The sequence below is a fragment of the Homo sapiens genome, chromosome 8, assembly GCF_000001405.40.
Source record: "Homo sapiens chromosome 8, GRCh38.p14 Primary Assembly".
Classification (NCBI taxonomy): domain Eukaryota; kingdom Metazoa; phylum Chordata; class Mammalia; order Primates; family Hominidae; genus Homo; species Homo sapiens.
The window spans coordinates 50,106,577-50,125,189 of record NC_000008.11 but is presented as its reverse complement, the minus strand read 5'-3'; the positions used below and the strand labels follow the sequence as shown (position 1 = coordinate 50,125,189).

The 18,613-nt window shown below is 36.9% G+C and overlaps 1 protein-coding gene across 20 annotated transcripts in view; it reads right to left on the bottom strand.

Annotated features, from left to right (window-relative positions):
• SNTG1 (syntrophin gamma 1) overlaps positions 1–18,613 on the bottom strand; it is an 886,897-nt gene that overhangs the window by 671,503 nt on the left and 196,781 nt on the right. The gene's annotated exons all lie outside the window — the stretch shown is intronic.

The following is an 18,613-nucleotide window of genomic DNA, read 5'->3' as shown; positions in this document are numbered from 1 at the left end:
CATATGCTCACTTTCCTAGTCCACCTGCTACCCAAACCAACCTCTGTAATTGCTTTGTATTCACATAATCTTTTTACAGAACTCTGGACTAAAGCCAAATGTGCCTTTCAATAATCAGCAGCTGGACTCTTGTATAGTGATGGCAGAAATCTCAGTGCTTTCAGGTATGGCTTTATCCATAGATAAGTAACTATCTTATAGTAACATTTATGAGAGGGTATGCCATGAAAATAAGATAACATATGTTCAGTGCAAGTAACTGCCTGCCCACAAGAATTTGTAATCCAGTTACAAACCCTTTAACACAACAAATATTTCAAAAATTCTATGGAGTATTTAATCCCACTCTCATACTGTCTTTTGCTTAACACTCGAATTTTAGCAACAAGCTTCAATTACTAGGGCCAATTTCTTTAGGAATTTGGCAACAATTTTCTTCCTCACTGCCTAGCACAAGCAGAAGCAGGGAAAGCCCTTGGAGGTAATTTGGCATGGGAACAGGATCATTTTCTGTCTTATTCACCAATAATTTGAAGCTATATCAATAATTTATAAGCAGAGGATTAAAAGTAAAGCTTCAAAGTCCATTTCAATCATGCAATTAGGACCGTATTGCTATTCAGCATCTTATATTTAGAGGTCAGCTTTATTAATATGCAACGTTAATCTTTTGAAAGATAACATTTATAATTTAGAAGTATCAGACAAATACTATTTTACACAGTCTATTAAAAAATTTCTGAACAATGATTCATTACATCTATCCTTTAGCAGCAATACTATTCACATGCTAAGAAGGTGTTTTAGTTTGCTAGGCCTGCCATAAAACAGTAGCAGATACTGGGTGACTTAAACAACTGAAATTTGTTTTCTCGACATTCTAGAGGCTGGAACTCTGAGGCTGATGTGTCAGCGGGTTGGTTTCTCCCAAAGCCTTTCTCACGGGCTTGCAAATGGCCATTTTCTCCCTGTGTCTTCACATGGTCTTCTCTGTGAATCTGTCTCTGTCCTAACCTCCTCTTTTAATAAGGACACAAGGCATATTGGATTAGGGACCATCCTAATGGCCTCGTTTTAATTTAGTTAGCTCTTCCAAGACACCATCTCCAAGTACAGATTCTGAGGTACCGGAAGTTAAGAATTTAACATATTAATCTGAGGGAGACACAGTTCAGATCCTGACTGAAGGATTTTGTTGTTTTAGTTGTTGTTCTAATAATAAGAAAAAGACACTGAAAACCCTATATTATTTATATTCAATTTTGTTAAAAGCAAAGTCACCTTGGGAAATGGGATGTCTACGTTTGACTCCAAGCCCTGCTACTTACTACCTGTATGGACTTGGGCACATCACTTAAGAAAGCAAAGATGTGTTGGCTTGTGTGCATTTTTAGCTGCTACCTGTAGGTTACACAGCTATTTGTCACACAGGACTGGTTTGCTTGAAGATGTCCCTTCTTTTGGCCTCTACAATGTCACCCTTTCCCAGTAGGAAAAACAAAATAAAAGAATCTGTGCTTTGCATATACATGAAGACCAGATTTTATTCTGAAAGAGGGTTTTTGTTTGGAAATTATGAGAATTAATGACATATAATAGGCATCTCTTAGCAAATTGATATTTCATCTTTTATAATGCATATAAGAAAAAAACCATACTCTTGCTTTCTTAATGTAAAGATGTTCTAAATGCCTGATCTCTTTATATTTTTGGCAGCAGTGAATAAAACTATAATTTTAGCTGAGTGTAACTGAATCATTTGCTTGCTCTTGTGCAACTGGTTTATCTACCGATCATTAGGAATTCACATAAGACCTGTGCAGTATTCTCCATTCTCCTTTCAGGAACACTGAAACCAGCAAAAGCATTCATTTTCTCAAATTAACTGTCTGGCAGTTTAAATATCTATGCTTTTATGCACCGATGTAATTGTGTGTTGGAGCACTGAGCGGTACAATAATTACCATCAGCCACTAGTCTGTATTTATGTACATTCTGCAATGCTTCAATAAAAACTGACAAATCAGGTTTGAAGTGAGTCTTAGGACTTTGCAAAGGCATGTGGAGTATGAAATCTTAGATGTCTCAAATGCATCTAAGATTTTGTACTCTGGTGACCTACTCTCACCTGCAGTATTGATGACCTGGTCTGCCACGGGCTTCCGCTTAGTTTCTGAATCTGTCACAGTATGCTAGAAGTTATGAGCCCCCTGAATCCACAGAGTGTTTGTGTTTAGCACATAAAAGCCTCTATGTAAATATTTGTTAAATAAATGTATTTCCATTCCCATTTTATATGCAAAGCAATCAGGTTTTTCTCTCTATTGGTTTGGTGCATTCTTCCTGTGAGAGCTCATACAATTTGGTTTTCTATGAGGAGAACTACTGTTAGGGTATTTTAGCTGGTATATCTCTTGAATTTCTTCTCTGTGCTACTCCTATCCTCCTTCAACTCATCATCAGTTATTTTAAATGCATCCTCTTGTCCCCATTACTATCCTCCTGCCTCTATTGAAGTCACAGTGCCTCCTTATGCTGCCAACCATCTTCCCACTGCTCCTGAGCTACCGCCTCACCTCCTTTAATTAGTTATTGACATTGCAGCCCAAATGCTCTTTCTAAAATATGAGCTACGAGCCTCAATGTCATCCTCCTCCTCAACATTCTTCAGGCTCTAATAGCCTTGAAGATGAGGTCCAAAGGGCTGAGTGCAGTCACAGCTTTTTTTTGACCTACTTCTTGTGCAGTGCTCAGCCTGCCCTCTTCCTGCATTCCAGGCCTCGCAAATCTACTGTAACTCCTGAAAGGGACCTCACTCCCTCACTTTCACTACTTCTCCCAGCTGCATCCCCTCTCCAAGTGCATAAGAAAAGTGAAGTCTTCTGCTGGGAATAAGGGAGTAGTTATTTACCCATTTTACTATTTGCTTTGCAAAACGAGGTAAGGCACAAGTTACCAAGGATGCCTTGAATATTTTTACATTTATTCAAAGGCAGCGTGGCCTACAGAGGCTGAGAAACACTATCCCACACAACCATGGGCACAACTTACAAGGTGTGTGTGTATCTGTATGGCAGAGGACACTGGGGGTCCCTAAACCAAGGCAGGGGGCATCGAGGGTTGGACATGGTGCTGAGGAGCAGGTGAGAGGCCAGCACAGGCAAGCCAGCCTAAAAACAATTTCACTTGGGTTTTTTCCCAGTCCCAGAATTTTTACCACCAAAATGCACTATTACTAAAAATTTTCCTATCCAGAAAACTTAAGATTTGTATTTAAAGTGTATATTATTGCCTTATTGCATTTATTCTCTTCTCCAATTTAGTTTCAAGCTTAAACATTGCGTTATTTCACCCAGGCTGGAGTGCAGTGGTGCTATCATAACTCAATGAGGCCTTGAAGTCCTGGGCTCCAACAATCCTCCAACCTTAGCCTCCCGAGTAACTGGGACTGCAGGTGTGAGCCACCAAGTTTGGCTTATTTTCATGATTTAAAATTCATTCTATTTTTTTGGTACAGTTGTAACACATTGGTTTAAATCCTCAACAAATTCTCCTTCTCTGTCACTAGTTTCAGTTTCTAATTATTCTAAAATACTGGCACAATACCACTAAAGTTAGTTTGTATTAATACTTATTTGAGTGAATCATGTTACTTCTCACCTAACAGACTCTATAATCTTCCAAAGCACATCAACATTTTTTTTCTAGCAGGTACCTGTAACATTATTTTTATTTTTGTACATAAAATTTTGTATGCACTGATAAATATCTGAGGTTAAACATTCCAGAATGTACAGGGTTTCTGAGCAGTGCACATAGAACTAGGTAGGAACACCAGAACTCCAAGAGGCCTTTGAGCCCATCTAGTTAAAAGTGCTTTGTTTTACAGATATGGAAACCAAAACTCAGAAATTTTAACTTGTCTAAGTTCACAGAAATAGCCAAGTCAGAGGCCAAAATTAGTCTTCAAGCATCCAGTTCAATAAATTTTAACTCTGACAATGCTGTTGTTATATTCAGAGGCACTTACGTATAAAAAATAATGGTCTTGAGAGACTAGTTTTTTGTGTATGGCAAGTGTGCATTTATTTTCAATACTAATGAAGACATTTTAATATTCTTAAATAAAAATAAATCTAATAAATAAATATTTTCCTTTCAGTGTCTTGATATGATAATGAAATATGGGGAGCAAAAGCAGCTCAGTGTTTCCTATAAGTCAGATTGTCCTACGATACGTTTATGCGAAGTTATGGCAACCAGACATGTAGAGAGGATCAGTTGTCCTGCAAAACTGCACTCATTCCACGGCTACATGACTTGTTCATTTAATATCTACCATATAATTTCTCTACCAGTTTCTTACAAATTAAGAACTTGGTACATAATTTTTGATTAAGTGAAATATGAGGCCCAAAAATAAAAACAGAATGTGGACATTAAAATGTGATCACCTAAAAATTGTGGGTTCAGGAGAAGAAACCTCATTGCAATACTATTAGTAGCGTTGGTGGTGATAACAGCGGTAATAGTGGTGGTGAGGTTGGTAGTGACAGAGGTGATGGTAGTATAAAGATGGCAGTAATAATGAGTAGTAGTTTGTGGTGGTAGTAGTGGTACTAGTAGTGGTAGTAGTAGTAGTTATCATGGTAGCAGTATTGGTGATGGCAGTATTGGTGATTGCAGTAATGTTGGATAGTGTTAGTGGCAGTAGTAATGGTAGTAATAGTTAATAGTTTCAGTAGGGTGGTGGTGGTAGTAGTAGTACTAGTAGGGATAGTAGTAGTTATGGTAGTGGTGGTGGTGGTGATGGTAGTAATATTGGTAGTATTAGTGGCAGTAGTCGTGATCGTAGTAACACTGGTAGTTTCAGTAGTGGTGGTGGTAGTGATGATAGTAGTGACAGTAATAGCTAGTAATAGCTAGTATACTAAGATCTAACTTTTTCTTAAGTGTTTTCTAAGGGTCAGGCATTATTCAGAGTGCTTACAAGTATTAATTCATTAATTGTTTCCTTACAATAACCCAAAAAGGTAGTTACTACTACTATTAACATTTTTGCTAGAGGGGGAGAAAACAAAAATAACAAGACAGATGTTATGCAATGTGTCCAAGGTAAATGGCAAAGCTACATTTTTAACTCAGGAAGACTGGTTTCATCTTCATCTTCTACTGTGCTTCTCAAGGCAAGAAACTAAATTATCATGAACAAAACTGATGATAAGTAATTGTTAATAAAGAATGAGGGATATTTTTATAATCTTAGCAATTCTGAATCCAATTCAAAGAAGTATGTAATGCATATCCTGAGTATTGCACTTTCCTGTAACAGCAAGCATGCTTGTATTATTCTAGCGTATTAATTCTGGCTCCTAAATTTACTAGATATGAGTTTTTGAACAACTTCTTTAATTTCCCTATGCCTCAGTTTCTCATCTGATAGGGGTATAGTAATTGTCCTTACATTGTAAAATTACAAACTGAATCAATACAAGGGTTTTGATAAAAAATAATAGCTAGCTAGCTCAATGCTAGCTATTATCTGTTTACCTATTATCTCATCTAATTTTCATAATAATGTAAAAATTATCACAATTTATATAAATTAATTAATTAGTTGTAATTAGTTGAACCAGGATTTGTTGAATTACTATTTCTTTAACACTTAAATTCCATGTCCTTGCCATCACATCATTTTGTTTCTTGGTGAATTGCAACATAACTTTTCTTGGGTCAAGTGTGTTCAGCTGCATGCCAGCCTCACTCCCCTATAGGAATCCTGGGAACAAGCCTCAGCCATAGGACTCCTCTGAGCACAAGTTGCCTCTGAAGGTACTTGATTAATCCAAGGAGGCCATTTCCCGGCCATGTCAACCAGAGTGTGTTCCTGAAATTGTTTAAATGGCCACTGAAAAGAGAATTAGCCTTCTCTCTGTGGTGGCAGTGATCAGTGATAAAATATAAAAGTGGGCACTTCGCTGGCTATATAATTTTTTACCATATAGAGAAAGGCAGTGAGAGAAAGAAGAGGGCACACTGAAAAAAGAAAATCAGAAATAGTTAACATAAAATTACTTCCAGAGGTGTTTTGTTTGTTTGTTTGTTTGTTTTGCTTCCATGTAGTTTCTGAGCACCAGCTGTGTGCCTCCACCACAGCAGTTTGGAGGGCCAAAGCTTCATTAGTTTCTGTGAGCCAGTGCATCCTGCCGTATTTTCTTGAGGTAGTTAGAAGTAGAATTTCATCACTCAAGCAGAAAACAGGCATCTGTCTCTGCTAAGTCTAATACAAAGAAGTTCTAGATCCCATTACTCTACCTCCAAGTCTTTTAATTTAAAGAAATTAATTTTTGGATTCTGACTGAGCATGGTTTTAATATTAATCTATATATAATTCTTTAGAATGATAAAAAGCTGGTAATTTTGTTATTTGAAAAACAATGTGGAATTTAAGAATACACTTTAATTTTATAAACTATAAAGGAAAAATAAAAGAAAATAATACTTTGTTTTCAACTCATAGGCTCTTGATTTTTCTTTCAAAATTCTCAGGATTCTTTGGGGTCCACAGGGAATGGAGAGAAGAGCTGAGCCTTTCGGTGAACTCCTCACATGATTGGCTTGGCCACGTGTTAGCTATGTGTCCAGAGTCAATAACTAACATCCTCTTTGCTTCTATTTCCTTATATGTAAAGTAGAGCTGATGATATTATCTACCTCATAGGGACACTCAAAGATTGTGTGAGTAATCTACATATGTAAAATGTGTAAAGCACTGAGAACAACACTTAGCAGTTAATAAATCTTAGTTCATTTTCTTATCATTTCCAACATATTTATTTGAAATAAAATATTGAAAATCATGGTACATGTAATTTTTTTTTAAAACCTGAAGGGGAAAAATGAACTGTTGCTTCTTGGAGTTGTAGTGTCTTCTCCAGTCATGAAGCATGGTTTCTACTCTTTGGGTTGAAGCCTGTTGAGAATGGACTCTTAGTGGGTCAAACACTTCCAATGCCTTAACAACTAGGAAATTTAAGGTTAATAAACAAATCATATTCCCAAGTGGCTGGTATGCAGCCTTATTTTTTATTATCAAATAGATTGTTCATAAATCATACATTTGGAAAATAGAGAAGCAAGTAGGTGCTTTCTGTAAAATGCAACCTAAGAACAGGAGGGTGCTCAGTCTTCTGCAGTGGTCAGCATCTTTCCCTTCCCCAGGGCCAACTTCACATAGCTTTTACCAGGTTACAGGGAACTCAGCACACTTCAGCTCTGCTAGTCACAAATCTCACCACACTAATTAGATTGTGAAGCAAAACCAAACATAACCTAACTTCAGACCTAATATTAATATTAAAGAAGAAAATATAAATGAATAGAGGAAATGTTGGCTTCCTCCTAGTTCCTGGGACTTTTCAGTTGCTAGTACATGCTTATCTACAGTCTAGTGGTAACAGAGAGAATAAGTAAACTCAGTGACCAGGAGAGAGACTTCGCTACTCACTGAAATATAGTGAGAGCTAATTCTGTGATTAAAAAATCACTTAAAAATAACTAAATTGTAAGACTCAGACAGCAATGGAGCGAAAACAATTTTGCTGAGAGGCATGAGGACTGGTGCCATGCCCTACCTTCCTCCTCCATGATTATTGATCAGCTTTATCTGAAATATTGGCATTTCCCTGTGTGTGAATTAGACCCTAAACATTTTATGTTCTTTATAAGAAAAAGAAAAACATATTGTATACTGATGTCAGGAATCAATCTTAGATAAGGACAATTCTTTCTTGTTTATTTTTCCAGAATGTGAAGAATCACACGCATTTTGATCATACCGGATAAACAAGCATAGCCTGTTTATTTTTTGATATGCTGGACTCTAAAATTATAGTAAATTACATCTGTTCTTAAGTGCTTTTTTACAGCATGACAAGTCCAAATTGTGTGCACACACTCTGGAAAAGATGTCTAAAAGGCATTTGAATATTTTCAGGCATATGTAAAACAAAGACAAATGATGATTCACATTCAGCTGAGTGATTAGAACTTTTTCAAGCAGAAAGAACGGAATATGTTAGTTCCAGTATTATTAAAATTGTCTTAAAATGTAAACCGTGATGTTAAAATTATCAAATATAATCTTCGTCATGTTGTTTCATGCCTCATTCTCCACTGAGAAAATGAGTCCTAGCATTAAAAAATCTAAGTACTCAGAAGCTTTGGTATTCTGTAAGTTAAATATAAAGTTTTCCACTTAACTTAAAATGCCAGGATGTTTTTTGACTCCTTTGCAGTTCTGAAGGTCATTCTGCTGATGCCATGGTCAGGTAGAGTCATAAGTAAATTTGCAGAGTGAATAGCATAGAGCTCAGAAGTTATTGGAATATGGCTTCTGCATCAACAGGCAAATAGGAGCAGCAGCCCCTGCACTCCTCAAGCAAAATGCTCATGGAAAATGAGTCTAAAATAGACATTTCTGGCACACCAACAACCTAACCTGACTAACAAGAGAAAGAAATAGGCCAGGTTTTAAAATTATAAAACTTCACGTAGGCCTGCATCCAATGGGCATGCTTTGTGCATATGAAGAAGGTGTATATTCAAAATTCTTATAAATGAACGAATACGAATTAGGTACGCAATGACTGAGGATGGAGAAGTGGGTGAGAATTTTATCTTATGTGGTTTTAAAGTCCATTCCAACACAGAGTCAAGGATTCCTAAAAATTATAAGCAACGTAAATCAAAGGGTGGGTAAAAATCATAGAAATAAAAGACCTAAGAGTGGAGTTGGGGAAAAGCCAGTGCTGAGAAAAATCAAGAAAGACAAATTTTATGCTGAAATTGATTTTGGAGTAAAATCCTACTTCACAGAATCATTGTAAGTATTACATTAAGTAGAAAAAAAGGCATTTGGAAAGTGTTTAATGTTAGATGGTGTTAGTTATGTTTCAGGGCATGGGGTCTGGAATCCGACACCCTAAATTTGACCACTTAATAACAATTTAACTGTTGGAAGTCACTGATGTCTGCCTATAGCGTATTTTCTTTTATGTAACCTGGAAATAAAAATGGTGCACATTTTATAAAGAATTAAATAAAAAGAAAGACATATGAAAGATCTTCAAAAAGTGCCTTGAGCATAACAAACACTCAAGTTACGCTCATGGTGCTGTGACTGTGTGTATGATGCTGGGGAGGGCTGCTTCAGCTGCACAGTGGCAAACCTGACATGACCTTGGGACTGCTGTAGTGTATGACTGACATTTTATTTACTTTAAAACAAAATTCTCTCCACTGGGGGTTGGGGGGCGGTGGGTGGTACTTTTCAATGAATGATGAAGGAGTAGTTGGACATTTATAAGCAAAATAAAATAAGTCTTAAGCTAAACGTCATACCTTGCAAAAAAATGATCTCTAAATGGGTCATTGACTTAATGTAATGTAAACAATAAAATGCAATGTAAACAATAAAGTTCTAGACACACACACAGAGCACGACAATTTCCTTCCACCTCTCAGCACTCATTTGTCATCACTTGTCTCCTTAACTGCAGAGTATCATAGCAACTTTCCTACAAAGGCCTTCAACCATCTCGTTTTTTTTTTTTTTTTTTTTGAGACAGAGTCTCGCTCTGTCACCCAGGCTGGAGTGCAATGGCAAGATCTTGGCTCATTGCAAACTCTGCCTCCAGGGTTCCTCCAGCAATTCTCCCACCTAGCCACCCCAGTAGCTGAGATTACAGGCACCAGACATGATGCTCGGCTAATTTTTGTATTTTTGTAGAGACGGGGTTTCACCATGTTAGCCAGGCTGATCTTGAACTCCTGACCTCAGGTGATCCACCCACCTCGGCCTCCCAAAGTGCTGGGATTACAGGCATGAGCCATGGCACCCGGCCAAGCATCTTAACCCTCTCACTCACACTGTAAAACCACATCCTTAGTAGAATTTAATCACCATTCTCTCCAGTCTTAACACCTGAATTTTGCAAGACAATATCAGAAAGTAAGCTGACTGGTTGCACTTTAAATCCATGACCTCAGACATGGACTTTCATTATAAACCCAATATATTTCCAATTAAATTCACTTTCTAAAGTATTTATTTTTTCATGTTTTCATTTTTCATGGCAAATCTATTCTTGAATTTTAACATATTTAATTGACAAGTACATGTCATATATATTCAAGGTGTCCAACATGATGATTTGATATATGCAAACATTGTGTTATAATAATCACAATCAAACTAATTGCTACACCACTCCTGCTGTACATTATATCCCCCAGAACTTGTTCATATATTTTTTTTCTTTTTTAGAGATGGAGTCTCACTCTGTCACCAGGCTGTAGTGCATTGGCACGATCTCGGCTCATTGCAACCTCTGCCTCCTGGGTTCAAGTGATTCTCCTGCCTCAGCCTCCAGAGTAGCTGGGACTACAGGCGTGCACATCTACGCCCAGCTAATTTTTATATTTTTAGTAGAGACGGGGTTTCACCATGCTGGCCAGGATGGTCTCAGTCTCTTGACCTCGTGATCCACCTGCCTGGGCCTCCCAAAGTGCTAGGATTACAGGTGTGAGCCACTGCGCCCGGCTTTGTTCATCTTAAAACTGAAACTTTATACCCTTTGGCCAACATTTCCCCAGTTTCCTTTCCCTCAGTCTCAGGCCAACTACCTTCTGACATGCTGCTTCTATGGGTTTGACTTTTTAAAATTTCTCAAATAAGTGATATTGTACAGCATTTGTTTTTCTCAATCAGGTTTATTTCATTTAGCACAATGTCCTCCAGGTTCATCCATATTGTCACAGATAGCAGGATTTCCTTCTTTTTAAGAAGTTATTGCATGTTTGTCACTATTAGCAATGAGATACATTCTTTTACTGCTTATTACTAATATAAAGAAAATCTACTGGTTTTAAGTATTTATTTTTTAGATAATTACCATATCAAATTGTCTAAAATAATTCCAACTGCTTTTTAGTTGCACCTTTGATTTTCTAGGCATGCAATAATATAAATCAAAGTAAATGAGTGTCTCTTATGTGATATAGTATTATTCACATTATTTGTGGGTGAATTGTTAGTTATTATGTCGAATATTCTCAATCTATTCCTAGATTATTAGTCTTTAAAAGCAGTAAAGATCACATAATCTTGTCAAACGTCGTTTTGTGATTAGATTTTTTCTATGATAATTTATGTGAAGTTGAGACATCCATGCATATTTATTTATTTATTTATTTATTTATTTATTTGTATATTTTTATTATACTTTAAGTTCTAGGGTACATGTGCACAACGTGCAGGTTTGTTACATATGTATATACATGTGCCATGTTGGTGTGCTGCACCCATTAACTAATCATTTAAAATTCAACAGTCCTTCAGGCTAAAAACTCTAAATAAATTAGGTATTGATGGAACATATCTCAAAATAATAAAAGCTATTTATGACAAACCCACAGCCAATTGCATACTGAATGGGCAAAAACTGGAAGCATTCCCTTTGAAAACTGGCACAAGACAGGGATGCCCTCTCTCACCACTCCTATTCAACATAGTGTTGGAAGTTCTGGCCAGGGCAATCAGGCAGGAGAAAGAAATAAAGGGTATTCAATTAGGAAAAAAGGAAGTCAAATTGTCCCTGTTTGCAGATGACATGATTGTATATCTAGAAAACCCCATCGTCTCAGCCCAAAATCTCCTTAAGCTGATAAGCAACTTCAGCAAAGTCTCAGGATACAAAATCAATGTGCAAAAATCACAAGCATTCTTATAAACCAATAAAAGACATGAGTGAACTCCCATTCACAATTGCTTCAAAGAGAATAAAATACCTAGGAATCCAACTTACAAGGGATGTGAAGGACCTCTTCAAGGAGAACTACAGACCACTGCTCAACAAAATAAAAGCAGACACAAACAAATGGAAGAATTTTCCATGCTCATGGATAGGAAGAATCAATATCCTGAAAATGGCCATACTGCCCAAGGTAATTTATAGATTCAATGCCATCCCCATCAAGCTAGCAATGACTTTCTTCACAGAATTGGAAAAAAACTACTTTAAAATTCATATGGAACCAAAAAAGAGCCCACATTGCCAAGTCAAAATCAATCCTAAGCCAAAAGAACAAAGCTGGAGGCATCATGCTACCTGACTTCAAACTATACTACAGGGCTACAGTAACCAAAACAGCATGGTACTGGTACCGAAACAGAGATATAGACCAATGGAACAGAATAGAGCCCTCAGAAATAATACCCCACATTTACAACTATCTGATTTTTGACAAACCTGACAAAAACAAGAAATGGGGAAAGGATTCCCTATTTAACATCCATGCATATTTAGAATTAAATATTTGGGCCAGATGCAGTGGCTCATGCCTGTAATCCCAGCACTTTAGGAGGCCGAAGCAGGTGGATCACTTGAGACCAGCCTGGCCAACATGGCGAAACCCCATCTCTACTAAAAATACAAAAATTAGCCAAGTGTGGTGGCAGGGGCCTGTAATCCCAGCTACTCGGAAGCCTGAGGCAGAAGACTCTCTTGAACCTGGGAGATAGAGGTTGCAGTGAGCTGAGATTGTGCCACTGCACTCCAGCCTGGGTGACAGAGCAAGAATCTGTCTCAAAAAAAAAAAAAAAAAAAAAAAAAGAAAGAACTAAATACTTGTGTATGCTGCATAACTGTTTTGATATACCTCTTGATTTTATTAACTAGTTTTTTAATTAAGGTTTTTACACCTGCATTCTTAGATCCAATTGCTGTATTGCTTCAGTTTATGCTACCATATGAACCTTCAAATCAGAAGGTTATCTTTATTCTTTTTTCTCTATTTTAATATGTTTAGTGTAAAGTCATCCACGTATGCCTGAAATCATACCTACCTGGTTTCCTACATTATTCTTTTGGTATGACTTTAGATTTAATTAACTAAAATTATAATTAGGGTGATTACATCTATGTTCTTAATGCAAATTTAGTTTTAGTCATATCTTAATAATATTCTGAAATAAAATATATGCCAACTATCTTTTCTGTCATCTCAAATTCTTTGGATGATGAAAAAAATCATGTGTTTTCTGAAGATTAACACTTGTCTTTTCTATCAGACCATTTTTCCAGTACTACTAAATTTTCAAGTTTGATAAAATATAATTTTCTTAAAATAATTCATTCACCTTTTCAGATTTATGCCATAAAGTTACTTATATTGTGGCTATTTTTTTGGCCTAAAGTATTATTTTTGTTATATCTTCCTTTGTGAGTTTTTTAACTCTGAAAGTGGAAACTTTCTTTTTTCCATAGTCCCTTTTTTCTTCTGATACTTTCTTTTCCTTACTTTCCATTTCAACTCCTGTTATTTGGCCACAGAGTTATTCTCCATGTCCCATTTGTCACTCATAATTTCAGTTTCCTAGGATTTTGCTTGGAGCTGAGATATATGCCCTCCACTGGGCCTTGGTAAATACTGATGCAGTTCCACTTGTAGTAATCATTTTCTCTCTTTAATAAGAGTTTTAATGGAGGGGTATATTGCTCTTCTTGCGCTGCCATAATAAAATATCATAGACTTGGTGGCTTAAACAACAGAAACTTATTTTCTCATATTTCTGGAGGCTGGAAGCCTAACCTCGTTTCTAGCAGTTGGATTTCTGGTGAGGGCTCTCTTCCTCCCTTCTCACTGTGACCTCACATGGTTTTCTTCTGTAGGTGCAAGAAGAATGAGAAGAAGAGGGAAAGAGAGAGAGAGAGAAAGAGACAGAGAGAGGATATACTTTCTGGTGCCTCTTCGTATAAGGACACTATTCATATTCAATTAAGACCCCCACCTTATGACGTCCTTCAACGTAAACTACCTCCTTAGAGTCCTCCATCTCCAAATACCATTATATTGGGGGGGTAGAGCTTCAACATATGAGTTTTGGGGAGAGACAATTTAGTCCATAGCAGGAAAGTACAGTAGGTGACCTCAGGAAGCAAGTGTGAGGGAGCTAGGAGAGTAAGGCGATGACAACAAAAATACACTAACACTCATAGGCATTGATGTTGCAATGAGTAGAGTTGTAAATCTTCCTGGGATCTGGATAATCATAATGAATTCCTCCTCAGAAAATCTGTCTAAACCAGAAGTCATCACATTACAACTTGCAGGTAGAGTTGAAAGTTAAATAAATGATACCTGGTTAAGTTTGAATTTCATAGAAATAACAAATAATTGTTTAGGACATACCTAGATTAAAGAAGTTAATTGTTATTTGAAATTCCAATGTAAGCATCCTATATTTTTATATGCTAAATATGGCAACCCTCCCCATTGGCCCAATTTAGCCAGGGGCCAATTTTTGTACATAAAATTTTAATTGGAACATGACCACATTCATTCACTTTTGTATTGTCTATGGCTGTTTTTGCACTACAGTAGTATTAATGAGTAGTAACTGCAAGACAGTGTGACCAGAAAATGTTACAATGTGTACTAAATATATTTACCAAAAAATATACTAAATATGTTTACCTGGATTTAAAGGACAAAAAGCTTCATCTCGAGCAGTTGGTGTTGGTTCCTAAAGCTTTAGCCCCTTGCTCTTCCAGGCTTTGTGCATCTGCAGGAGTGCTAAGAGGGTTCAGGGTTATAGAGACCAAAAGCTGAAAGACAAATGGCTTGTCTGAGCTCAGAAAGACTAACTACTACAGTTGCAAATGAAATCACAAGTGTTGCTCACCAAGGATGCCTGAGCCTTCCAGGAAGGCTGATGATGGTCACTGATGAGAGTCCTGCCTGCACCTGTGTTAGAGTAGGCTGATAGCCAGACATGAGCAGAAGGGGAAGCCCCTGAGAAAAGGGAGGGCTGGAAAATCTCACACCCCAGAGACCACTCAAAGCATCCATGCTAGATATGAGGAGAGAGGAGGGAAAACACCTAGATGGAAAGCAATGTCCCTTATGACTTGCAGTAATCCCTCACTCTGCAGTTAACCTGCCAGAATGTCACTAGATGCATGATGATAAGGGAAGAGGGCAGAGGAGAAATCCCTAAGAGATACGCAGGAGCAGTAAGTACAGGTTTAACCACTACACAACCTTCCTGGAGTGAAAAACACAGCCATTAGATAGAATTCATATCCAATTCCTGGTTTGCACATGCGTATCAACAGAGAGTAAGAGAGAATTCCACAAGCCTGGGCAGAAACTAGATGGGGAAAGGTGGGTACTTAAGACAGAAGTGGGAAAACTAGAGAAAGAAAAAGGTGGTGACTTAAGACAAAGGTGGGAACTTCCAGAACAATCCAACATTATAAAAAGCCCATGCAGACTCTCAGGGCTGTTGCCGGCACACTGGCTTTCAGTAGCCCACTCTGCCTCACCTTTCAGAGTATCCTGTCTCTCTATGTAAACTCTCTGTTCTCAATTTCCCTTCAATAGGGCTCACTGATATCTTTGAATTGTCACTTAGTAGAAATCTGTCTCCCAAGTAAGACCAAGAACCGAGGATCTCCCCCTTCCTGATAACACCTGGACTTCCTGTTGAATGAGACCACTCAATGGCTCAGTTATTTAAGGAATTATAGTAGGGTATTCTATTCATTAAGTTTGAGAACAATTCTAACTAATATCATATGAACATTTGCTAAATGCTGCAGAACATAATTTGAGAACTCTTGATCTAACTAGAAAATTGGTGCAGTTTTACCAATTTTCCCCACTATGATTCCTCCATGTTTTATACTCTCCATTGAGGTGCTGGACTTAGACTCCTGGCATGTTTTTGGTAATGTGATTTTCTGCAGGATGACAGAACTTAAGATTGAAGAAACTTGAAAGTGAATATGAATTGCATCTGCTAAAAAATTCTCATGAATTAGGTATTAATTGTATCCTTGTACATTTAAATATTTGCCTATTTATGTCAGTGGACAAGAGAGTCAGGCTGTCCTGTCTTTTGGTAAGAAAGATAGTCAAAGTTCAAGGGAGAGATCTTTCTTTTGATTCCTGTGGTATGCCATGAATTGGCTTCCTATGAACTTCCAGAAAAGGAATGTGGGATGCTCCATACCCAGGAGTGGAAAGTGTCTCTGTTGTCAATGGAAATGGTGGTGCCCCACAGGGCTGGACCCAGAAATCAGAGTAGAGTCCCTTTATATTCAATAATGGAATTTCCTTAAGTCAATTATGCTTCCTACTCCCTGCCTACCCGCCTTTTCCACCTAGACTATATACATACACAGAAGTGATGCTAAGATTGCTCCAGACAGGGTCATCTCACATCTGCAAATTCCTGGGTCTCTGGCCTCTTCAAAGTTTCCTTCAGACTCCAAAAGTAAACCACAGTTGTTTTAGTGTAAGGTTCCTTGAGCAATGTATTGGATATACTCAAAATCAAGCAAATTTGTTCAGGCCACTGTATGACTAAAATCCCCCCACAAATAACTCAGCAAAGGAGCTGGACATAGTAGGATTTTAACAAAGCTTCTATAAATGGAACAAAAGCATATAAAATATTTTAGGTTCAAGAAAATCACAAAGAAAGAAGATACTAAATCATTTTTGTTGTTATTGTTTTATTCAGTTGTAAATTTTACCGAAAGTTTTGTGGGGGTTTTTCCCTTCATGAATGTTTTGTTACAAAATAAATCTTGCTTTTTGTACAGTATCATCTTTATAGCATTGAAAATACGTTTACCACCTTCTTCACTCTCAATATTGTTTTTTACACAACATCAAATTCAATCCCAGTTCCATGTGAAATTATTGCAAAGAATGGCAAATATAAATTATTCTTACAACATCAACCTTTGACCTGCCTTCTGAAATACCAGAACATAAACTGTCTTGTACTTTGTAATATCTCTTCATTCCCCTAACAGCAACTTGATTTTACTCAGCATGTCAAGTCTAATAAATAACAGTATTCTGTTCATTTGTTGCTGTTATTTTCAAAATAAAATAATTGCTCTATCTTTCTTCAATGCCTCTTGAACAGAGTTCTATTTAGTTAGTAAATGATGCTGGCCTAATTATTTAAAGAGAGAAAACTATGCAAGGTAGAATTTGTGTGACCCACGTTGGTGGCTACCTCATCAAAACTTGGAATATCTCTTGTTGCCAGCAAAAGACCTACACAGGTAGAATGTGATCAATGAAATGGACACTGACTCATCATTCAAAATATAGCTTGGGGAAATGCTCACGGCAAAGGCAAGGAAACTAACGCTTACCAAAAAATTATGTGATGTTAACACAAAATATTTTACACATTTTCTCATTTCATTCTTACAACACTTAGTGATTCGCTCTTGTTAAAAATCTTGATTTCTAGCCAGGCATGGTGGTTCATGCCTGTAATCCCAGCACTTTGGGCGGCTTAGGTGGGCAGATCACTTGAGGTCAGGAGTTCGAGACCAACCTGGCCAACATGGTAAAACCCCGTCTCTACTAAAAATATGAAAATTAGCTGGGCATGTTTGCAGGTGCCTGTAATCCCAGCTACTTAGGAGGCTAAGGCAGGAGAATTGCTTGAACCTAGGAAGCAGAGGTTTCAGTGAGCCAAGATCATGCCACTCCACTCCAGCCCAGCCAACAAAACAAAACAAAAAAAACAAAAAAACAAAAAACCTTGATTCCGCATTTATGTTATTTTAACCTTTAAAATAATGTTTGAGATAAGTTACTCCTAAACTTTTAAAAAAAGTGAAAGCAATTAATTCTAGTTATTAAATATAACATAATTAAAGAAGTATTTAAAGACACCTTACTTTATAAAATTGACCTTTAAATATCATACATGTGTGAGAATCTTTCAATCTATTTTCTTTTATCTATCTATCTACATATCTATCTGTCTATGTTGCCAATATTCCTTCCAGAATGCTAATAAAGGATGGGGAAAAGGTCCATACCTTATTCTTTCATGTTGCCCAAGTTACACTTTGTTTTGGCAACTTAGGATAGTCTTGAGAATTTATAAAAGGTAAAGATATTTAGAAGATGAAAATATAAAAGGGCATTCAAGAAAACTTACTTTAGTGGACATTAACTGCATTCCCTTCCTTGAGAATAAAATTTTACATTCTGTAATTCTTTTAATTTAGACTGGAAAGTCTCTTAATTGTCTTGCTGGGCACCCTGGAGCTTCAGTTGCTCATTACCAGCAGGCAACATATTTCCTATGTGTTCTGCTCTTGCCAATCATAAAACTTTAATTTAGGAACAAGAGTTAATCAGCTCTGTTTGTCTCCAAACCTGTTTATGGCAGTATGAATTGCTATTGTGATTATATAATGATTTTCAGATATACATATTATTGAAATTCCTTGCTAAAATATAGAATTGAGTCTATACAATCTGTGAATATTTGGGTGGACATAATAAAGGTGAGTTGTCAAACACAATGTTATCAAAGTTAAAGTAAGTCAATCAGAAAAGTTTGCAAAACTCATGAGAATGCAAGAAGGATTCTGCATTCATATCACATAAAGAAAACTAAAAACAGAAACACACGATCATCTCAAGAGATGCAGAAAATACTTTTGATAGAATTCAACATCCTTCATGTTAAAAATCCTCAACAAACTAGGCATTGAAGGAAAGT